General features: G+C 49.6%; 1 protein-coding gene and 1 pseudogene across 33 annotated transcripts in view, besides 1 other annotated feature; one reads left to right on the forward strand and one right to left on the reverse strand.

Annotated features, from left to right (window-relative positions):
* CCDC57 (coiled-coil domain containing 57) overlaps positions 1-21,729 on the reverse strand; it is a 111,373-nt gene that overhangs the window by 28,921 nt on the left and 60,723 nt on the right. For 27 of the 33 annotated variants that reach the window (NM_001367828.2, NM_001394669.1, XM_047435774.1 and 24 more), the window contains 2 exons: positions 21,170-21,383; positions 3,683-3,804 (listed from right to left, as the gene is read on the reverse strand). The exons of 1 other annotated variant lie outside the window; for it this stretch is intronic. In NM_001367828.2, the coding sequence (NP_001354757.1) occupies positions 3,683-3,804; positions 21,170-21,383 (336 nt within the window). The remainder of the gene's footprint in view (positions 1-3,682; positions 3,805-21,169; positions 21,384-21,729) is intronic. 5 more of the 33 variants (XM_047435778.1, XM_017024473.2, XM_047435776.1 and 2 more) reach the window with 2 other exon arrangements.
* On the forward strand, positions 11,273-11,383 carry LOC124904119 (uncharacterized; annotated as a pseudogene).
* Positions 19,419-19,478: an enhancer, noted in NCBI's record as "active region_12990". NCBI's record gives its function as "activates an Ori minimal core promoter by ATAC-STARR-seq in GM12878 lymphoblastoid cells {active_cell/tissue: GM12878}" and the evidence as "EXISTENCE:reporter gene assay evidence [ECO:0000049][PMID:35858748]".

The following is a 21,729-nucleotide window of genomic DNA, read 5'->3' on the forward strand; positions in this document are numbered from 1 at the left end:
TGCCAAATTGGCCAGGCTGGTCTCGAACTCCTGACCTCAAGTAATCTGCTCGCCTTGGCCCCAAAAAGTGCTGGGATTACAGGCGTGAGCCACCACACCCAGACAAAACTTTTTTTTTTTTTTTTTTTTTGAGATGGAGTCTTGCTTTATCACCTAGGCTGGAGTGCAGTGGTACAATCTTGGCTCACTGCAACCTCCACCTCCTGGGTTCAAGCGATTCTCCTGCCTCAGCCTCCCGAGTAGCTGGGATTATAGGTGCCTGCCACCACAACTGGCTAATTTTTGTATTTTTAGTAGAGATGGGGTTTCATCATGTTGGCCAGGCTGGTCTCGAACTCCTGACCTCAGATGATCTGCCCGCCTCAGCCTCCCAAAGTGGCTGGGATCACTGGTGTGAGCCACCACGCCCAGCTCCTTTTTTTTGGGGGGGTGGGGGTGGGGGACGGAGTCTCACTCTGTCACCCAGGCTGGAGCACAATGGCACTATCTCAGCTCACTGCAACCTCTGCCTCCTAGGTTCAAGTGATTCTCCTGGCTCAGCCTCCCGAGTAGCTGGGATTACAGGTGCCTGCCACCATGCCTGGCTAATTTTTTATATTTTTGGTAGAGACGAGGTTTTGCCATGTTGCCCAGGCTGGTCTTGAACTCCTGACCTCAGGTGATCCACCCGTCTCGGCCTCCCAAAGTGCTGGGATTACAGGCATGAGCCACTGGGCCCAAATACTGGCCACATTTTTTTTAAAAGAAAAATAAATGTAGGCCAGGTGTGTTAGCTCACACCTGTAATCCCAGCACTTTGGGAGGCTGAGACAGGTGGATTACTTGAGGTCAGGAGTTCGAGACCAGCCTGGGCAACATGGCAAAACCTCGTCTCTATCAAAAATACAAAAATTAACTGTGTCTGGTGGTGTGTGCCTGTAATCCCAGCTGCTCAGAAGGCTGAGGCAGGAGAATCGCTTGAACCTGGGAGGCAGAGGTTGCAGTGAGTCAAGACCACACCACTGCAGTCTAGCCTGGGCGACAAAGTGAGACTCCATCTCATAATGAATAAATAAATAAAATAAATACATGCCGGGCCTGGTGGCTCACGCCTGTAATCCCAGCATTTGGGAGGCAGAGGTGGGCAAATTGCTTCAGTCCAGGAGTTTGAGACCAGCCTGAGTGACACGGTGAAACCCTGTCTCTATTAAAAAACAAACAAACAAACAAAAATTAGCCAGGCGTGGTGGTGCATGCCTGTAGTCCCAGCTACTTGGGAGGCTGAGGTGGAAAGATCACTTGAGCCTGGGAGACAGACGTTGCAATAAGCCGAGACTGTGCCACTGCACTCCAGCCTGGGCGACAGAGCAAGACCCTGTCTCAAATATAAATAAATACATTTTAAAAAGAAATAAAAAAGGAAACACAAAGCAGTCTTGGCTCCATAGAGTTTTCTTTTCTCAGTTTTAAGAGTTATTTCTTATGCCTGTAATCCCAGCACTTTGGGAGGCTGAGGCAGGAGGATCACTTGAGTTCAGGAATCCAAGGCCAGCCTGGGCAACATGGCGAAACCCTATCTCTACAAAAAATACAAAAAATAAGGCCAGGCATGCTGGCGGGCGCCTGTAATCCTAGCTACTTGGGAGGCTGAGGCAGGAGAATGGCGTGAACTCGGGAGGCGGAGGTTGCAGTGAGCCCAAATTACGCCACTGCACTCCAGCCTTGGGTGACAGAGCGAGACTCTGTCTCAAAAAAAAAAAAAAAAAAAAGAATAAATAAGAAAGGATAGCCAAGAAAATTTTGTAAAGGAACAGAAATAAGGTCAAGCTTGCTCTAACAGATATTAAAATAGGTCACAAAGCCACAGTATTTAAAGCGGTATAGTACCATTTCAGGAACAGACAACTCATTGGAACTGTGTAGAAAACCCCAAAATCAATGCAGAAGCTGAACTTCTCAAGGCTGCAACATGAGACAGATCCACAGTCTACAAAACACTGCCTGACTTTTCAAAAAGACACGGAAAGGCGGAGGGAGTGTTCTGGGTTAAAGGATGAAAACACAAGAGCCAGATGCAGTGGGAATTCGGGACTGGCTCTGAGGTTACGGAAAATTAGCAAGGAACACACATAAATCACCCACAGAAGAAGAACTATAAATGGCCAATAAATAGATTAAAGCATTTAATGCCACTAAGGATATAAGAAATTTCCTTCCTTCTTTGTTTTTTGGTAGAGACGGGGTCTCGCTGTGTTGCTCTGGCGGGTCTTGAACTCCTGGGCTCAAGCAGTCCTCTCACCTCAACCTCCTGAGTCTGGGATTACAAGGTGTGGACTACCACAAATGGGTAATTTATTTTTATTTTTATCTTTCTGTAGAGACAACCTTGCTTTTTTTTTTTTTTTTTTGAGACGGAGTCTTGCTCTGTCGCCCAGGCTGGAGTGTAGTGGTGCCATCTCGGCTCACTGCAGCCTCTGCCTCCTGGGTTCAAGCAATTCTCCTGCCTCAGCCTCCCCAGCAGCTGGGATTACAGGCGAGTGCCACCATGCCCGGCTAATTTTTGTATTTTTAGTAGAGACGGGGTTTCACCATGTTGGTCAGGCTGGTCTCAAACTTTTGACCTCATGATCCACCCGCCTCGGCCTCCCAAAGTGCTGGGATTATAGGCGTGAGCCACCGCACCTGGCCATCTTGCTATCTTTTTAAAGATACAAGTTGTGGCTGGGTGCACTGACTCATGCCCATAATCCCAGTACTTTGAGAGGCCATGGTGGGCAGATCGCTTGAGCCCAGGAGTTCAAGACCAGCCTGGGCAACATGGCAAAACTCCATTTAAACAAAAAATATAAAAATTAGCCATTAGGCATGGTGGTACACACCTGTGGTCCCAGCTACTTGGAAGGCTGAGGTGGGAGGATCACTTGAGCCTAGGAAGCCGAGGCTGCAGTGAGCTGTGATTGCACCACTGCACTCCAGCCTGGGTGACAGAGCCAGGCCCTGTCTCAAAGGACAAAAAAAAAAGAAGTTTTTGGGTTCTGGGTGACAGAGCCAGGCCCTGTCTCAAAAAAAAAAAAAAAAAAAAAAAATAGAAGTTTTTGGTTTTTTTTTCACTTATCATACCAGATTAAAAAAATAGTACCCAGATATGTAAAGCTATAGTAAAACATATACATGATACAATTTGTAATGAAAAAATAAAAAAAAATGGGGGCTGGGCGCGGTGGTTCATGCCTGTAATCCCAGCACTTTGGGAGGCAGAGGCGGGTGGATCACCTGAGGTCAGGAGTTTGAAACCAGCCTGGCCAATATGGTAAAACCCCATCTCTACTAAAAATACAAAAATTAGTCAGGCGTGTTGGTGCATGCCTGTAATCCCAGCAACTCGGAAGGCTGACTCAGGAGAATTGCTTGAACCGGGAGGGGGAGGTTGTAGTGAGCCGAGATTGCACCACTGCACTCAAGCCTGGGCAACAGAGCAAGACTGTCTCAAAAAACAAACAAACAAATGAGAACCAAAACCAAACCAAAACAAAACAAAAACCCAGCAGAAAACACATTGAAATGTTACTAATAACTATATCTGGATCCTGAAAATTGGAGGCTTTTTATATTGTGTTTATTGTAATCTGAAGTTTCTGTAATGAAAACGACACAATTAGGGAAATATTTTTAAAAATGCATGTCTTAGATGAAGGGGTGTTACCTGAGATGTAAAATGGGGCTGCACCTGTCCCAAAGGTGGGCTGCGATCCAAAGGCCTCCTGGGCTCCTCGCCTGGCTTCCGGGCCTCAGGGGCAGGAGGGAGGGCGTGGTGCAACAGCCACCCTGGGAATGGGATGGGGACAGAGTTTGTTCTCTGTGCATCACTTCTGGATTCCTCTTGTGTTGAATGCAAACACTCAGAAAGAACAGCATGTTCCTTTTCAAAACCAAAGTAACTTCCATTACATCGAGAACTTGGGGAGGGCCGGACAACAGTGAACTGTGACACACAGCATTTCGGTAGAGCTCTTGCACACACAATGCCACGCCCCTGCCACACACAGCCCTTGCTGTCCTCACAGCGGGGGCAGCAAGCACATTCGCTAACAGAAGCACCCAGACGCCCTTTCTGTGGCAGGCACAAAGAAGAAGCAAAAACTTGCCAGGTGCGGAGGCTCACGTCTGTAATCCCAGCACTTTGGGAGGCTGAGGCAGGTTGCTCACTTGAGGCCAGGAGTTCGAGATCAGCCTGGCCAACATGGTGAAACTCCGTCTCTACTAAAAATACAAAAATTAGCTGGGCGTGGTGGTGGGCACCTGTAATCCCAGCTACTCGGGAGGCTGAGGCAGAAGAATTGCTTGAACCCGGGAGGCAGAGGTTGCAGCGAGCCGAGATCATGCCACTGCACTCCATCCTGGGTAACTCCATCTCAAAAAGCAAGCAAACAAACAAACAAAAGAAGCAAAAGCTTAAGTATAACAACTTAAAAATGATGGTTCTACTCAAAGCTTCGGCATGCTAGCTTACTTAGAAATGACCCCACATCAAACGAGATCCTTTCATCAATTCCATTCATGTTATGTTATGTAAAGATCTGCTCCTTCTCTAAGCAGACACATCAGAAGACATAATTACTGAAATAACATTTCCCAGGATTACAAATCAGTTTCGTTAAACTCACTGAGGATTCCAACAAGGTTTTTGGAGGGTGTTTATAACTGTTGACATTTCACATATTGGAAATTGAAACAGACATTTTTTTTTTTGAGATGGAGTTTCGCTCTTGTCCCCCAGGCTGGAGTGCAGTGGCGCGATCTCGACACCCCCAGAACATCCACCTCCTGGGTTCAAGCAATTCTCCTGCCTCAGCCTCCCAAGTAGCTGGGATTACAGGCATGCGCCACCACGCCCGGCTAATTTTGTATTTTTAGTAGAGACGGGGTTTCTCCATGTTGGTCAGGCTGGTCTCGAATTCCCGACCTCAGGTGATCTGCCCGCCTTGGCCTCCCAAAGTGCTGGGAATACAGGTGTGAGCCATGTGCCTGGTCAAAACAGAAAAATTTTAAAGCTTTTTTATCAATTAACTTGAAGTTAGCCATGATGAACATATTGCTTATGATCAACATCTGAGGAGCATCGCAGGATTAGCTCTGCCCTGTGGACATCCCGAGATGGGCCCTCAAGTAAAGCATCAGTTTCTTCTACGCAATAAAAGAACCCAAAGATGACACTTGGAAATGAACGTGTTTCCCTTGGTTTATAAACACCTGAATTTAAAAGCCATGAAGTCAGAAGATGCACGTGTGGGCAAAAACCTCCTGAAGACACTCAACACCATTGGTCACCAGGAGAATGTAAAATCAAGCCCACTATGGGATCCCGCCTCACACCCACTAGGTTGGCTGGGATCAACAGGATAGAAAACAGCTGGGTGCGGTGGCTCACACCTGTAACCCCAGCACACTGGGAGGCCGGGTGGGGGGGATCCTTGATGTCAGGTGTTGGATACTGGCGTGGGCAACACAGTGAGATCCCACCTCTATTTTTAAAAGAAATTTTTTTAAATATAAAAAAAATAAAGTTTTTAAAGATATGCAATAAAAGTATTCTTAATTAAAAAAAACCCCGACAGAAAATAGCAAGTGCTGGTGCAGATGTGGAGAAATCAGAACCTTCGTGCGCAGCTGGTGGGCATGGGAGGCGGTTTGGTGGCTCCTTACCAGGTTAGACACAGAATTCCCACATGACCCAGCAAGGCCACTTCTAGGGAGGCATCCAAGAGAACTGAATGTTCACAGCAATATTATTCACAATAGCCCAAAGGCGGAAACCATCCAAATGTCCATCAAACTGATGGACAAATGCCTACAGTGGCCTGTCCCCCAGCAAAGAGCTCTTCCCATGGAAAGGAATTAAGTGCAGACGCCCCAGCACGAGGGACCCTCAAACAGGACACAGAGGGAAAGAAGCCAGGCACAAAGGGACACATCCTGTGGGATCCTGCTGAAGTGAAACGTCCAGAACAGGCAAAGGCATGGAGGCAGAATGTGGGTGCTGGGCGGGGGACAGGAAGCAACTGCGAATGAGTGTGGGGTTTCCTCTGAAGTGAAAGGAATTCTGGAACAAATGATGATGCTCGCACAACATTCTTGACGTGCTTAATGCACTGAACTGTATACTTTGTATACTTCATGAGCTTTCAACAGTACATTTTATATGTATAGTACCAAAAAAAAAAAAAAAAAAAGAAAACTAGTTTTTTTGAGACAGAGTCTTGCTCTGTCACCCAGGCTGGAGTGCAGTGGTGCAATCGCGGCTCACTGCAGCCTCCACCTCCTGGGCTCAAGCGATCCTCCCACCTCAGCCTCCCAAGTAGCTGGGACCACACCCAGCCAAGTTTTTTGTTTTTTAGTAGAGACAGGGTGTCACTATTCTGCCCAGGTTAGTCTCAAACTCCTAGCCTCAAGTGATCCTCCTCCCTTGGCCTCCCAAAGGGCTGGGATTAGAGGCATGAGCCACTGCACCCAGCTGAAAGCTAGGTCTTGTTTTCTCAATCCTTACTTGGTTGAAAGAAAGCTAGTTTTTTAAAAAGCCATGAAATGTGTTAAAATCTTAGCAAAGTTAGCCCAATTTTGATGGGTTTGTTTCCTTGGTGTACTACTTTTTTTTTTTTTTTTTTGAGACAGAGTCTTGCTCTGTCATCCAGGCTGGATGGAGTGCAGTGGTGTGATGTTGGCTCACTGCAACCTCCACTTCCCAGGTTCAAGCAATTCTCCCGCCTCAGCCTCTTCAGTAGCTTGGATTACAGGCACCTGCCACCATGCCCGGCTAATTTTTGTATTTTTAGTAGACAAGGGGTTTCACCGTGTTGGCCAGGCTGGTCTTGAACTCCTGCAAGCATCCTATGATCCGCCCACCTCGGCCTCCCGAAGTGCTGGGATTACCGGCGTGAGCCACTGCACCCAGCCTTCCTTCGTTTACTATTTATTGACTTCCCCTAAACTATGAAGGGTTATTCTTTACTTTCTATGTAATCTGTTCAGACAGCAAAGGTGCTGTCTTACCAGGGTAATTTTCCGTGCTTTTGTTGACTTATTATGTCTTGATGGTTTCAGAAAACAAAGCTTCCCATGCTTATGAAAGAGCTAAGTTTCTCTATAACTGTTCTCTCCTATGTTTAAGCTTTTTGTCACTTTCACGTGGGTAGCTAAATATTATTTCTCAGGTACCCATGAGTCTTAATGTTCAAATCTCCTGACATTTTTTTTTCCTTCTCAAAATTGAATTCTAAATGTCAAATAAAATAAAGCTTTCAGGAGACTTTTCTTTTTTTTTTTTTTGAGATGGAGTCTCGCTGTGTCGCCAGGCTGGAGTGCAGTGGCGCAATCTCGGCTCACTGCAACCTCTGACTTCTTGGTTCAAGCGGTTCTCCTTCCTCAGCCTCCCGGGTAGCTGGGATTACAGGCACCCGCCACCATGCCTGGCTAATTTTTGTATTTTTAGTAGACGCGGGGTTTCACCTTGTTGGCCAGGATGGTCTTGATCTCTTGACCTCGTGATCCACCTGCCTCGGCCTCCCAAAGTGCTGGGATTACAGGTGTGAGCCACTGTGCCCAGCCCCAGGAGACCTTTTATATTTAAAATGATCTATGAGATGTCCTAGAAGTTCCCTGGAAAATCACAAAATTTTTTTCTTATAAAAAGAGAGGTATTTGAAATAATTAGGTACAAGGTGGGGTGTGGTGGCATGCGCTTGTGGTCCCAGCTACTTGGGAGGCTGAGGCAGGAGGATCTCTTTTTTTTTTTTTTTTTTTGAGACGGAGTCTCGCTCTGTTGCCCAGGCTAGAGTGCAGTGGTACAATCTCGGCTCACTGCAAGCTCCGCCTCCCGGGTTCACGCCACTCTCCTGCCTCAGCCTCCCGAGTAGCTGGGACTACAGGTGCCCACCACCACGCCTGGCTAATTTTTTGTATTTTTAGTAGAGACAGGGTTTCACCCTGTTAGCCAGGATGGTCTCGATCTCCTGACCTCGTGATCTACCTGCCTCAGCCTCCCAAAGTGCTGGGATTACAGGCATGAGCCACCGCACCTGGCTGAGACGGGAGGATCTCTTGAGCCAAGGAGGTCAAGGCTGCAGTGAGCTGTGATCACACCACTGCCCTCCAGCCTGCATGACAGAGGTCTCTATCGAAAAAAAAAAGTAAAAAGAAAAAAGATGTTAAGGAAATGATTAGGTTTCTTTGATGTGTTAGGATTGATGAGTGCCACGGGAAGACTGCCGAGTCGGAAGAGACGCATGGCCTGCCCCGGGTCGGAAGAGACGCGTGGCCTGCCCCGGGTCGGAAGAGACGCGTGGCCTGCCCCGGGCTGTGTGTGTCAGGTAACTTGTTCGTCTGAGGCACTGAGGAACTGTGTGCTGTGCTGCACGGAGACGTCCCGGGTGCCCACGGCGCTTCTCTTCATTAGAGTCCCGAAGCCATTTGCCAGATGCTGTCAGCCGGCAGCAGTCCAGAGCTAGCAGGCATAAACCCCGTCACTGCCGTTACGTTAACTTAGGTGTCACCTTACTTTAACGTGAGCTGTGCATCTCTGATGCCCAGAGTTTGTAGCAGGGCGACCGTCACTCACTCTGGGGCTGTGTTACTAGGCAGACGGCCACCGCCTGCCCCACACTTTTTGCCTCTCCACTGGATATTCTTGGTATAGTCATGGAATAGTCAGCTTCACACTTATCTGTAAATAATTTCCTCTGTAAAAATCATGCTCATCCAGTTTTAGAAATCAGATATTCTGTTTCTGGCATCTTTGAAAACAGCGTCAACGTCTTGGATTAACTTTGTCTAGAACTCTTTTTTGGACTCTGTTTCCAGATGTCTACAGGACAAGCAAATGTTCCTTCTCAGTTGCATTATTCTTGCTATGAACAGACCTTTCACTTTGAAAAGTGGCAGTGGTAAATTCACCATGGCCATGTGCAGTCTTTTGTCATCCACAGTTTTTTTATTTTTATTTTTTGAGACGAAGTCTCAAAGAAGACTCCTGACCCAGGCTGGAGTGCAGTGGTGGGATCTCGGCTCACTGCAACCTCCGCCTCCTGGGTTCAAGCAATTCTCGTGCCTCAGCCTTTCGAGTAGCTGGGATTACAGGTGCCCACCACCACACCCAGCTAATTTTTGTGTTTTTAGTAGAGATGGTGCTTTGCCATGTTGACCAGGCTGATCTGGAATTCCTGACCTCAGGTGATCCACCTCCCTCATTCTCCCAAAGTGCTGGGATTACAGGCGTAAGCCACCACGCCCAGCCCCATCCACGATTTTTGTGTTACTCTGATGCTCCCCAGAAAGCTCAGAGTGCTTCTTCATCTTGAACAGGGACTGTCTCAGAGCCTGGGAAAAGGACTGGGCAGGCACCATGGGCACAGGCTTCTGATGGCGGCATTTAGATGACACTGAGCCCATCCCAGGACTCAGTCTCTAGTCGAGAAGCAGATGGATTGTTGAGACCAAGAACCAAGATGGAGTGGAACAAGAACGGACCTCACAGGAGGGGATGAACCGATGGTGGAGGATGACAGCTTTTGTTAAGAATACGGCTGATGTTTTTTTAATGTTCTACTTTCTGGATATATAGAGAACTCTTCCTCTTTCCTCTGAAGCTATGTACAGTCCACACAAATTTTGTAGTCTCTGCTTTTGTGAATCAAAACAGAACATTTGTAAGTGATACCTTGTTTTTTTTGTTTGTTTTTTTTGAGACAGAGTCACGCTCTGTTGTCCAGGCTGGAGTGCAGCAGCGCAATCTCGGCTCACTGCAAGCTCCGCCTCCCCAGTTCACGCCATTCTCCTCCATCAGCCTCCCGAGTAGCTGGGACTACAGATGCCCGCCACCACGCCCAGCTAATTTTTTTGTATTCTTAGTAGAGACGGGGTTTCACCATGTTAGCCATGGTGGTCTCAATGTCCTGACCTCATGATCTGCCTGCCTCGGCCTCCCAAAGTGCTGGGATTACAGGCGTGAGCCACCACGCCTGACCAATTTTTGTATTTTTAGTAGAGATGGAGTTTCACCATGCTGGTCAGGCTGGTCTCAAACTCCTGACCTCAGCTGATCCATCGGCCTCAGCCTCCCAAAGTGCCGGGATTACAGGTGTGAGCCACCGTGCCCGGCCAGGGATATCTTACTCTCCCGGCCTGAGTCCTCCAGAATTCAGAAACTTGTTGAGTACTCTTACTTTCAAAGTAATATAGTTATTTGCATAGTTTCAATGAGAATCTTTGTTTTTTACCAGGACTGGAATTGGAAATACTTCTTGTGTAACCAAGGCCCTGCATGGAAGGCCAAATCTGAGAAGACGCCCATTTAGTCAGTCACCAGCAGCCACTTGTAAGGAACCACAGCGATGTTACAGAGCCCACATCCACGAAGCCCTCCAAGGAGAACCCGGCACAGCGCCTGGCTTGTAGGATGGCAGGTGCATCTGGAGGGCATTGCCTGGCAGGCCCAGGAACCTGGGCTAGTTTGGAAACCTTAAGAAAGGAATTTGCTCAAATTTATAGGGCAGGTGAAATCTGGCGGGTTCTTGGCTTGGTTTTCTAGCCTCAGGACAGCAAGCAAGAGGCTTTTATTTATTTTATTTTAAATTATTTATTATTATTTATTTATTTATTCTTTTTTTTGAGATGGAGTCTCGATCTGTCACCCAGGCTGGAGTGCAGTGGTGTGATCTCCACTCACTGCAACCTCCGCCTCCCAGGTTCAAGCTATTCTCCTGCCTCAGCCTCTTGAGTAGCTGGGATGACAGGCACGTGCCACCACGCCCGGCTAATTTTTTTTTTTTTTTTTTTTTTGTGAGACAGAGTCTTGCTCTTGTTGCCAGGCTGGAGTGCAATGGCATGATCTCGGCTCACTGCAACCTCTGCCACCCTGGTTCAAGCGATTCTTCTGCCTCAGCCTCCTGAGTAGCTGGGACTACAGGCACCTGCCACCATGGCTGGCTAATTTTTGTATTTTTAGTAGAGACAGGGTTTTGCCATGTTGGCAAGGCTGGTCTTGATCTCCTGATGGACCTCGTGGTCCACCTGCCTAGGCCTCCCAAAGTGTTGGGATTACAGGCGTGAGCCACCGCGACTGCCCTAAAATTATTTTTTAAAGAGGCTTTTAAAAGTCAATCTGAAATTCTTTACGGAAACTTCTAAGAAAGCAAACTTAAGAATGCAGAGATGGTGAATTAGCACTCTCGCTGCACCTATGGAAATAACCAAGCCATCTACAAACCAGCTCCATTTTGTGAGATCAGGAACAACCTTTCTGATCCTTTTGTGGTTCATCCGCCTGATGATTGGGTTTTCATGCAGACGTGTGAGCTGTGCCTCCCTCAAGCCTTGTTACAACATCCGACATCCGCACATTACCTGTCTGATGCCCGGGGAAAAAACACCTTTCTTTGAGATTACTTTCCATCAAAAGCAGAGAAACTGTAGGGAAAAAAAATGAGCTTCCGTAGAAACTGCTTTGTCTACTGCACTTCCACTGGGTTATCTGCGTCCAGCCCCTCATTGTCTTTGCGATTTGAGCTGCTTTGCGATTTTACCACTGATAGGCATGCGGATTCTGCCCTGCCTGCCTCTCCCCTCTACCAGAACCAGTTCTGCCTCCATCTGAAACTCGATTCTTTTACTCCATGTAGATTTGTGCTTTTTTGACCTTTCCTTGGAACTGGTTACAGCATCTGTCCAGTTTCCTCATTGTTTAATGAACAGAATACAATCCTAAACAAATGCTCATTTTTCATATTTGGGAGCCACATTTTACTTCTTTCTGAAAATTATCTTTTAACGCATAGTTAAATAAGTATTGCTGGACACAGTTAAACCTCAGTAAGGACACTGTATTATGAACCAGGATGAGCCATAGCTGTCCTGAACATTTCTGCTCTAAGTAACACAGCACTGAAGTTGTGTTTGTTTTTTTTTTTTCTTGAGACGGAGTCTTGCTTTGTCGCCCAGGCTGGAGTGCAGTGGCGTGATCTCAGCTCACTGCAACCTCTGCCTCCCAGGATCAAGCGATTCTTCTGCCTCAGCCTCCCGAGTAGCTGGGACTATAGGCGCGCAACACCAAGCCCGGCTAATTTTTATATTTTTAGTAGAGATGGGGATTTCACTGTGTTGGCCAGGTTGGTCTTGAACTCCTGACCTCGTGATCTGCCTGCCTCAGCCTCCCAAAGTGCTGGGATTATAGGCGTGAGCCGCTATGCCCGGCCTAGCACTGAAATTTATAAAACATGATGGTGAGAAGGAGAAATGGACAAAATCACAGGAGCAATGGAGGATTTTAACACTTTGTGGCTTTTGGCAGTTCAAATTGAGGAGCATAAATAAATTTATAAAGAATATCAATACGTATATTTAATATGGTTGTTAAATAGAATAAAATAAAAAGTAGTATTCCGCACATTTGGTTTAATAAATAACCAAAGGAATTCTGAAATTCCCCCTAACAAGTAGCTCGTGAAATAGAAAAACAGCCCACACTGGCCGGGTACGTGGCTCACGCCTGTAATCCCAGCACTTTGGGAGGCCGAGGTGGGTGGATCACCTGAGGTCAGGAGTTCGAGATCAACCTGACCAACATGGAGAAACCCCGTCTCTACTAAAAATACAAAACTAGCCGGGCGTGGTGGCACATGCCTGTAGTCTCAGCTACTCAAGGCCGAGGCAGGAGAATTGCTTGATCCCATGAGGCGGAGGTTGTAGATCGCGCCATTGCACTCTACAATGGCAACAAGAGTGAAACTCCGTCAAAAAAAAAAAAGCCCACAATGGCAGGCTATAGAGACAATGATTACACTGACAGTACTATCCCTCAAAACCTCTGGGGCTTGGCCAAAGTGATACTCATGAAAACTCTCACCTTAAGAAATGCAATTACTAAGCAAGAAAGAATAAAAATAAATGTGAAACATTCAATCTAAGAAATCAGGAGAAGAACAATAAAATAAACACAAGAACAAAAAGAGAAAAGATGGAATGGGAATTACTTCTGGTCAAGATACTGAAACCATCCAGTGGTTCCAGACAGCGACCTTTGAGGAAACCCCTGGAAAGGGGGAGGGGTGCTCTTACACACACACAGGCACACACACACACCCCACACGTGCACACACCCCACACGCGCACACACCCCACACGCACACACACGTGTCAGGGAGCACGTCTGACATGCCCCGTAAGATCTCCAGAAGAGATTAGACAGAAATGGAAGAAAGCAGTGTTTGAAAAACAATGACTGAGAATTTTAAAGAATAGAAAAACAACCAGCCAACCAACCTAAAATTTGGTCCTAAAATTTAAAAAACATACAGATTCCTGAGCAGGATTCAGGGAAACAAATCCACACTTAGACACAACAATGGTAAAACAGGAGCACCTAACAGATTGGGAGAAAAGTCTAAAAACAGCTTCCCCAGGCCGGGCGCAGTGGCTCACACCTGTAATCCCAGAACTTCAGGAGGCCAAGGCGGGTGGATTGCTTGAGCTCAGGAGTTCGAGACCAGCCTGGCCAACATGGTGAAACCTGTCTCTACTAAAAATACAAAAAAAAAAAAAAAAAATTAGCTAGGCTGAACCCGGGAGGTGGAGTTTGCACTGGGCCATGATCATGTCACTGCACTCCAGCCTGGGCAACAGACAGCAAGATTCCATCTCAAAAACAAAACAAAACAAAACAAAAAACAGCTTCCCCAAAGGCACTGAGATCAGACTGATGGCTGACCTCTCTGAAGACATAAGAATATTATCTTGAAAAGAAGTTGAGCCGGGCATGATGGCATGCATCTGTAGTCCCAGCTACTTGGGAGGCTAAGGCAGGAAGATTGCTTTAGCCCAAGAAATAGAGACTATAGTGAGCTACGATGGCACCACCATGCCAGCCTGGGTGTCAGAGCGAGACCCCATCTCTTTTAAAAAAAAAAGTAGTAGAAAAATGTCAACATACAGAAAATTCTATTTCCAGCTAAACCATCATTCTAGAAAGTCATCTACAGATACATAGCATGTACTCCCCACAGACTCTTGCTGAAGGAACTGACAAAGCAAAGGGCAGAGATCCCTGAATAAAAGTCCATTTCCCTTTTCTCTTTCCTAGAAAAGATGGGGCTGCCTTGTACCTGAGTCTGAGTATAAAGCCTTGTGTCCGATCAACTGCTCTCCAGGCTCCTGGAAGACCCCACTGTGGTAAACAGGGAACCGAGGTCAAGGAGCAGGCCTGGGAAGAGCTTCAATCAACTGTTTCATAAAATGTGAGCAAAAGTTATTACTTCCAACTCAATATATTGTTATAAGATTTTAAATACGTACGTGTCATTTAACTAATAAATTAAATGTAAATAGATACTTTACTATTTATGCACATATGCCTAATAAAGAGTATTGAGTCAGCTGCCAACTATTGGGAAACAACAAAGCGAGATCCCTAATTTGTTCTTTTTCACTAGATCATTTCCCGATGCATTAAAGACTCAGCAGGAAAATGACATGACGATAAAATACAAGTGGCCCCACAGTAAGCCCCCTACATACACACAAAATTAAAGAAGCACAAATTTAAAACAGGAAATCCTTTTACCTATTTAGATTGGCCCTCCAAATCAATTTTATTTCTTTTCTTTTTTTTTTTCTTTTTTTTTTTTTTGAGACAGAGTCTCGCTCTGTCACCCAGGCTGGAGTGCAGTGGCTTGATCTTGGCTCACAGCAAACTCCACCTCTCGGGTTCGAGATTCTCCTGCCTCAGCCGCCCGAGTAGCTGGGATTACAGGCACGTGCCCCAACACTTGGCTAATTTTTTTTTTTTTGTATTTTTAGTAGAGACGGGGTTTCATCATGTTGGCCAGGCTGGTCTCAAACTCTTGACCTCAGGTGATCAGGCGGTGGCTCACACCTGTAATCCCAGCACTTTGGGAGGCTGAGGTGGGCAGATCACTTGAGGTCATGAGTATGAGACCAGCCTGGCCAACATGGTGAAACCCCGTTTCTACTAAAAATACAAAAATTAGCTGGGCATGGTGGCGGGCGCCTGTAATACCAGCTACTTGGGAGGCTGAGGCAATAGAATCGCTGGAACCCGGGAGGCGGAGGCTGCAGTGAGCCGAGATCGCACCACTGCACTCCAGCCTTGGCAACAGAGATTCTGTCTCAAAAAAAAAAAGTTAGCTATCATAAAGAAGTTTACTAGAAACAACATTTTAAGGAATCCCAGCTTTCTACAGGATCAAGGAAATGCCATGTGCAGCTGATTTCTGGAAGGCGCAGAGGGAGGGTGAGCTCCAGGCACTGCCCACTCTGTGGGCAGAGGGGCCTGCAGGCAGGGTCCCACAGCACCTGCCTCCTGCTTCCCCCTGCAGGCCCCTGAGTGGGGCTGTTCTCACTCCCCGCCCTGGTCTCGGCCGGAACCCTGTAGCAGGCAGGTGAAGCTCCTTATCTCAGAGGGGGCCCACCATGTCACCTGCTGGAGTTGGCTCCACAGTCTGAATGGGGTGTTGGCAGGAACCAGTGTCACCAGAGCACAGGGGACGCCCCGGCACCTCCCCCCACAGCCATCTATATGGGCACCGGCAGCATGAGACAGGCTCTATGCCTGAAAGCAGCCGAGAGCCAGTGAAGTGGCGGTCAGCTTGCTCCCTGCGGGATGCGGCCCCTTCCCAGAGGCGGACAGGTGAGGACATGCACTGAGGCAGCTGCAGGTGACCCCTGGGCCACCGGTGCTGGGGCAGAGTAGCTGTTGTGAAGTGGACTAGAGAAGCATCTAGAAACAGCCACAGGCAGAGCAGGTCCTGCTCAGCCCCCTGGCTGGACGGCTGTCCCACGTTGAATAATGATGATATGTTTGTCACAGCTGGCCATTCTGTACTACTTAATGATTGCAGCCACATCATTTATGAACCGGATAAGTGATCTTAGGAAAAAAATGCAGATAGACCAGTCAGTCTTGCCTAAACCTTTGCAATCAGGACTCATCTTTTTTATTTTTTTAAATGTTTTTAGAGACTGGATCTCCTGTGCTGCCCAGGCTGGAGTGCAGTGATTATTCACAGGCAGGATCATACCCACTGCAGCCCCGACCTCCTGCGCTCAAGCAATCCTCCCACCTCAGTCTCCCAAGTAGCTGGAACTTCAGACACACAACACCATGCCCAGCTAAGAACTCAATGTTTAGGTGGGGAGGACGGCCTTCCCAAAAAGAAACAAATGGGGTATGTTTGGTATAATCAAAGCCAAACCAAAAGTCCCCATTCTTCTCTTCTCACTCTACTTTCTTCTCTAAATTGCCAATAAATCGACAAACTTCCATTGAGTCCTCCCTATGGATGTGTGCATGCATGCACACACACGGTCTAACATACAAATGCATGTGTGCACACAGTCTCACATACAAATGTATGTGCACAGTCTCACACACAAACGTGTGTGCACACAGTCTCACATACAAACGCACATGCACAGTCTTGCACACAAACGCTTGTGCAGTCTCGCAAACAAACGTGTGTGCACACACACAGTCTCACATACAAATGCACGTGCACACACACAGTCTCGTCTCGGGAAGTGCTAGGATTACAGGCGTGAGCCACCACACACAGCCGAGGAAACATCTCTTTAGCCAGATTTGGGCCTGGCGACATAGGAACTGAAGAAGGCAGAAAGTATCTGGCACTCAGCAGGGGCTCCTCTACTGGATGGGTGGATGGATATATGGATGGTAGGTGGATGAGTGACTGGATGATTGGATGGATGGGTGGATGGGTGAGTGAAAGGATGGATAGGTGGGTGGGATAAGTGGTTGGATAAATGGATGGATAGGTGGGTGCATGGGTAGGTGGATGGATGGATGGATGAATGGATAGATGGATGAATGGATGGGTGGATGCAAAGATAGATGAATGGATGGATGAATGGGTGGGTGGGTGGGTGGATGGATGGGCGGATGGATAGATGGATGGGTGGGTTGGTGGATGAGTGAGAGTGGCTAATTGGATACATGGGTGGATAGATGAACAGATGGATGGGTGGGTGAATGGATGGATAGATAAGTGGGATAAGTGGTTGGATGGATAGATGGATAGGTGTATGGACGGATGGACAGGTGAGTGTGTGGGTAGGTGGATGGATAGATGGGTGGGTGGACGGATGGATGGATACATTAATAGATGGATGGGTGGGTGGGTGTACGAATGGATGGATGGATGGGTGGGTGGATGGATAGATGGATGGATGATTGGGCGGGTGGGTGGATGGATGGGTGGATGGATACATGGAAGGGTGGGTGGGTGAATGGATGAATGGGTGGGTGGATGGATGGATGGATAGATAGGTGGGTGGATGGATGGGTGGGTGGATGGTAGATGGATGGATGGATGGGTTGGTGCGTAGATGGATAGATGGATGGGTGGGTGGGTGGGTGAATAGATGAATGGGTGGGTGGATGGGTAGATGGATGGATGGTTGGATGGGTGGGTGAATGGATGAATGGGTGGGTGGATGGATGGATGGATAGATAGGTGGGTGGATGGATGGTAGATGGATGGGTGGGTGGGTGGATGGGTAGATGGATGGATGGTTGGATGGGTGGGTGAATGGATGAATGGGTGGGTGGATGGATGGATGGATAGATAGGTGGGTGGATGGATGGTAGATGGATGGGTGGGTGGGTGGATGGATGGATGGGTGGGTAGATGGGTGGATGGATGGATGGGTGGGTGGGATAAGTGGTTGGATGGTTAGATGGATGGATGGATGGATGGATGGATGGATGGATGGATGGATGAATAGATAGGTGGGTGGATAGATGGGTGCGTGGATGGTAGATGGATGGATGGATGGGTGGGTGGGTAGATGGGTAGATGGATGGATGGATGGATGGTAGATGGATGGATGGGTGGATGGATACATGGATGGGTGGGTGAATGGATAAATGGGTGGGTGGATGGATGGATGGATGGATAGGTGGGTGGATGGATGGGTGGATGGGTGGGTGGGTGAATGGATGAATGGGTGGGTGGATGGATGGATGGATAGGTGGGTGGATGGATGGGTGAGTGGATGGGTAGATGGATGGATGGTTGGGTGGGTGGGTGGGTGGATGGATGGGTGGGTGGATACATGGATGGGTGGGTGGGTGAATGGATGAATGGGTGGGTGGATGGATGGATGGATAGATAGGTGGGTGGATGGATGGGTGGGTGGATGGTAGATGGATAGATGGATGGGTGGGTGAGTAGATGGATAGATGGATGGGTGGGTGGGTGAATAGATGAATGAGTGGGTGGATGGGTAGATGGATGGATGGTTGGGTGGGTGGGCAGACGGATGGGTGGATGGATACATGGATGGGTGGGTGGGTGAATGGGTGGGTGGATGGATGGATGGAAAGATAGGTGGGTGGATAGATGGTAGATGGATGGATGGGTGGGTGGGTGGATGGATGGGTGGGTGGGTAGATGGGTGGATGGACAGATGGATGGGTGGGTGGGATAAGTGGTTGGATGGTTGGATGGATGGATGGATGAACAGATAGGTGGGTGGATGGATGGGTGGGTGGGTGGATGGTAGATGGATGGATGTATGGGTGGGTGGGTAGATGGGTAGATGGATGAATGGATGGGTGGTGGATGGATGGTAGATGGATGGATGGGTGGGTGGACGGATGGTTGGGTGGGTGGATGGATGGATGGGTGGGTGGGTAGATGGATGGATGGGTAGATGGGATAAGTGGTTGCATGGATGGATGGATGGATGGATGGGTGGATGAATAAATAGGTGGGTGGATGGATGGGTGGGTGGATGGCGGATGGATGAGTGGGTGGATGAATGGATGGGTGGGTGGGTAGATGGGTAGATGGATGGATGGATGGATGGGGGGGGTGGGTGAATGGATGGATAGATGGATGGGTGGTTGGATAGATGGATGGATAGGTAGGTGGGTGGATGCATGGAGGAACAGATGGATGACTCACTGAAACACTCAGTCATAAAGCCAGTGCCCCTTGCCTTTCTTAGGAAGTCAGCTCCGGTGTCTGTGTCCAAGATGCCCAGCCTCCACCTCAGTCAGGAGACACTGCTGCCTTTACCTGGAGAAGTCTGCGGCCATCTTCGCTGCTCACCACAGAGCCGCACAGAAATGCCGGCTGCTTTGCTAACCTGCGGTGTTGTTCTCACAAATGCTGCCAGCGAAGTGGGTCCCCAGAGCGCCCGCAGCTAAGATGAGGTCCTGCTCTGTGCAGTGGCCTCCGACCAGGCCCCGCTCACAAGAGGGGCTTCTGTGCTCCTTCGGGCCTTCCTGAGAAGGCTGCGTCCAGAGCCCTCCCACTGACCCCAGGCGCACACCCAGAACCTGACCCGCACCCAGAACCAGGCGCACACCCAGAACCTGGCCCGCACCCAGAACCAGGCGCACACCCGGAACCTGACCCACACCCAGAACCAGGCGCACACCCAGAACCTGGCGCACACCCGGAACCAGGAGCACACCCAGAACCTGGCGCACACCCAGAACCAGGCACACACCCAGAACAAGGCCCACACCCAGAACCTGGCGCACATCCAGAACCAGGTGCACACTCAGAACCTGACCCGCACCCAGAACCAGGCGCACACCCAGAACCAGGCGCACACCCAGAACCTGGCACACACCCAGAATGTGACCCCCACCCAGAACCAGGCACACACTCAGAACCTGGTGCACACCCAGAACCTGACCCACACCCAGAACCAGGCGCACACCCAGAACCAGGCGCACACCCAGAACCTGACCCACACCCAGAACCAGGTGCACACCCAGAACCTGACCCGCACCTAGAACCAGGCGCACACCCAGAACCAGGCGCACACCCAGAACCAGGCGCACACTCAGAACCTGACCCGCACCCAGAACCAGGCGCACACCCAGAACCTGGTGCACACCCAGAACCAGGTGCACACTCAGAACCTGACCCGCACCCAGAACCAGGCGCACACCCAGAACCTGGTGCACACCCAGAACCAGGCGCACACCCAGAACCAGGCGCACACCCAGAACCTGACCCGCACCTAGAACCAGGCACACACCCAGAACCAGGCGCACACCCAGAACCTGGCACACACCCAGAACCTGACCCGCACCCAGAACCAGGCGCACACTCAGAACCTGGTGCACATCCAGAACCTGACCCACACCCAGAACCAGGCGCACACTCAGAACCTGACCCGCACCCAGAACCAAGCGCACACCCAGAACCTGGTGCACACCCAGAACCAGGAGCACACCCAGAACCAGGCGCACACCCAGAACCTGACCCGCACCTAGAACCAGGCACACACTCAGAACCAGGCGCACACCTAGAACCTGGCACACACCCAGAACCTGACCCGCACCCAGAACCAGGCGCACACTCAGAACCTGGTGCACACCCAGAACCTGACCCACACCCAGAACCAGGCGCACACTCAGAACCTGACCCGCACCCAGAACCAGGCGCACACCCAGAACCTGGTGCACACCCAGAACCTGACCCACACCCAGAACCTGACCCGCACCCAGAACCAGGCGCACACCCAGAACCAGGCGCACACCCAGAACCTGACCTGCACCTAGAACCAGGCACACACCCAGAACCAGGCACACACCCAGAACCTGGCACACACCCAGAACCTGGCGCACACCCAGAACCTGACCCGCACCCAGAACCAGGCGCACACTCAGAACCTGGTGCACACCCAGAACCTGACCCACACCCAGAACCAGGCGCACACCCAGAACCTGACCCGCACCTAGAACCAGGCGCACACCCAGAACCAGGCGCACACCCAGAACCAGGCGCACATCCAGAACCTGACCCACACCCAGAACCTGGCACACACCCAGAACCTGGCACACACCCAGAACCTGACCCGCACCCAGAACCAGGCGCATACCCAGAACCTGACCCGCACCCAGAACCAGATGCACACCCAGAACCAGGTGCACACCCAGAACCTGGCACACACCCAGAACCTGGCACACACCCAGAACCTGACCCACACCCAGAACCTGGCGCACCCCCAGAATCTGACCCACATCCAGAACCTGGTGCACCCCCAGAATCTGACCCACATCCAGAACCTGGCGCACACCCAGAACCAGGTGCACACCCAGAACCTGACCCACACTCAGGCCATGGCCTCCACTTCCCGGACTCACTTTCGGGTCGGCCCAGCTCTGCACGGAGCCTGTTCCCCATCTCGATGAGCTGCTCTTTCTCCAGGCGGAGGCTGATGATTTTTCTGGCTGCCTCCTTCAGCTTTCTCTGGAGTCGGTGCATAGATAAGGTCTGGGGGGCACGTGCCACTGACCGGAGGTGCAGGAAAAGCTCCCCCTGGTCCTCGGCCTCCATAGGCCCTCTCTTGGTGAGGCCCTGTAACAAAACTCACAGGCAGACACCCCTGTGAGGCTGCCCTCATGGGAGGACGCCAGGGGTGCCCACCCAAGGAGCCTCTTCACCTGCTCTTCCAGGGTGGGCACTGCTGGCTGTCACTGGGTGACATCCTTCCAAAAGAAAGACAAAAAGAGTCGCTGCTCCCAGTGCTTCAGTGGGTTCCTTCTCTTCCACAAATAGAATAAAGGCCCACAGATCTCCCAGGCCAGGGTGGCCCCCAGATCTCCCAGGCCCTCACAGCCCTCCGCCTCCTCCCCGCCATCCCTGCCTTCTGGTCATCTATGCCTTTGTGTCTTTCAAGTGAACACAAGGAGAATCTGAGGAC

The sequence above is a fragment of the Homo sapiens genome, chromosome 17 (genome assembly GCF_000001405.40).
Source record: "Homo sapiens chromosome 17, GRCh38.p14 Primary Assembly".
Classification (NCBI taxonomy): Eukaryota; Metazoa; Chordata; class Mammalia; order Primates; family Hominidae; genus Homo; species Homo sapiens.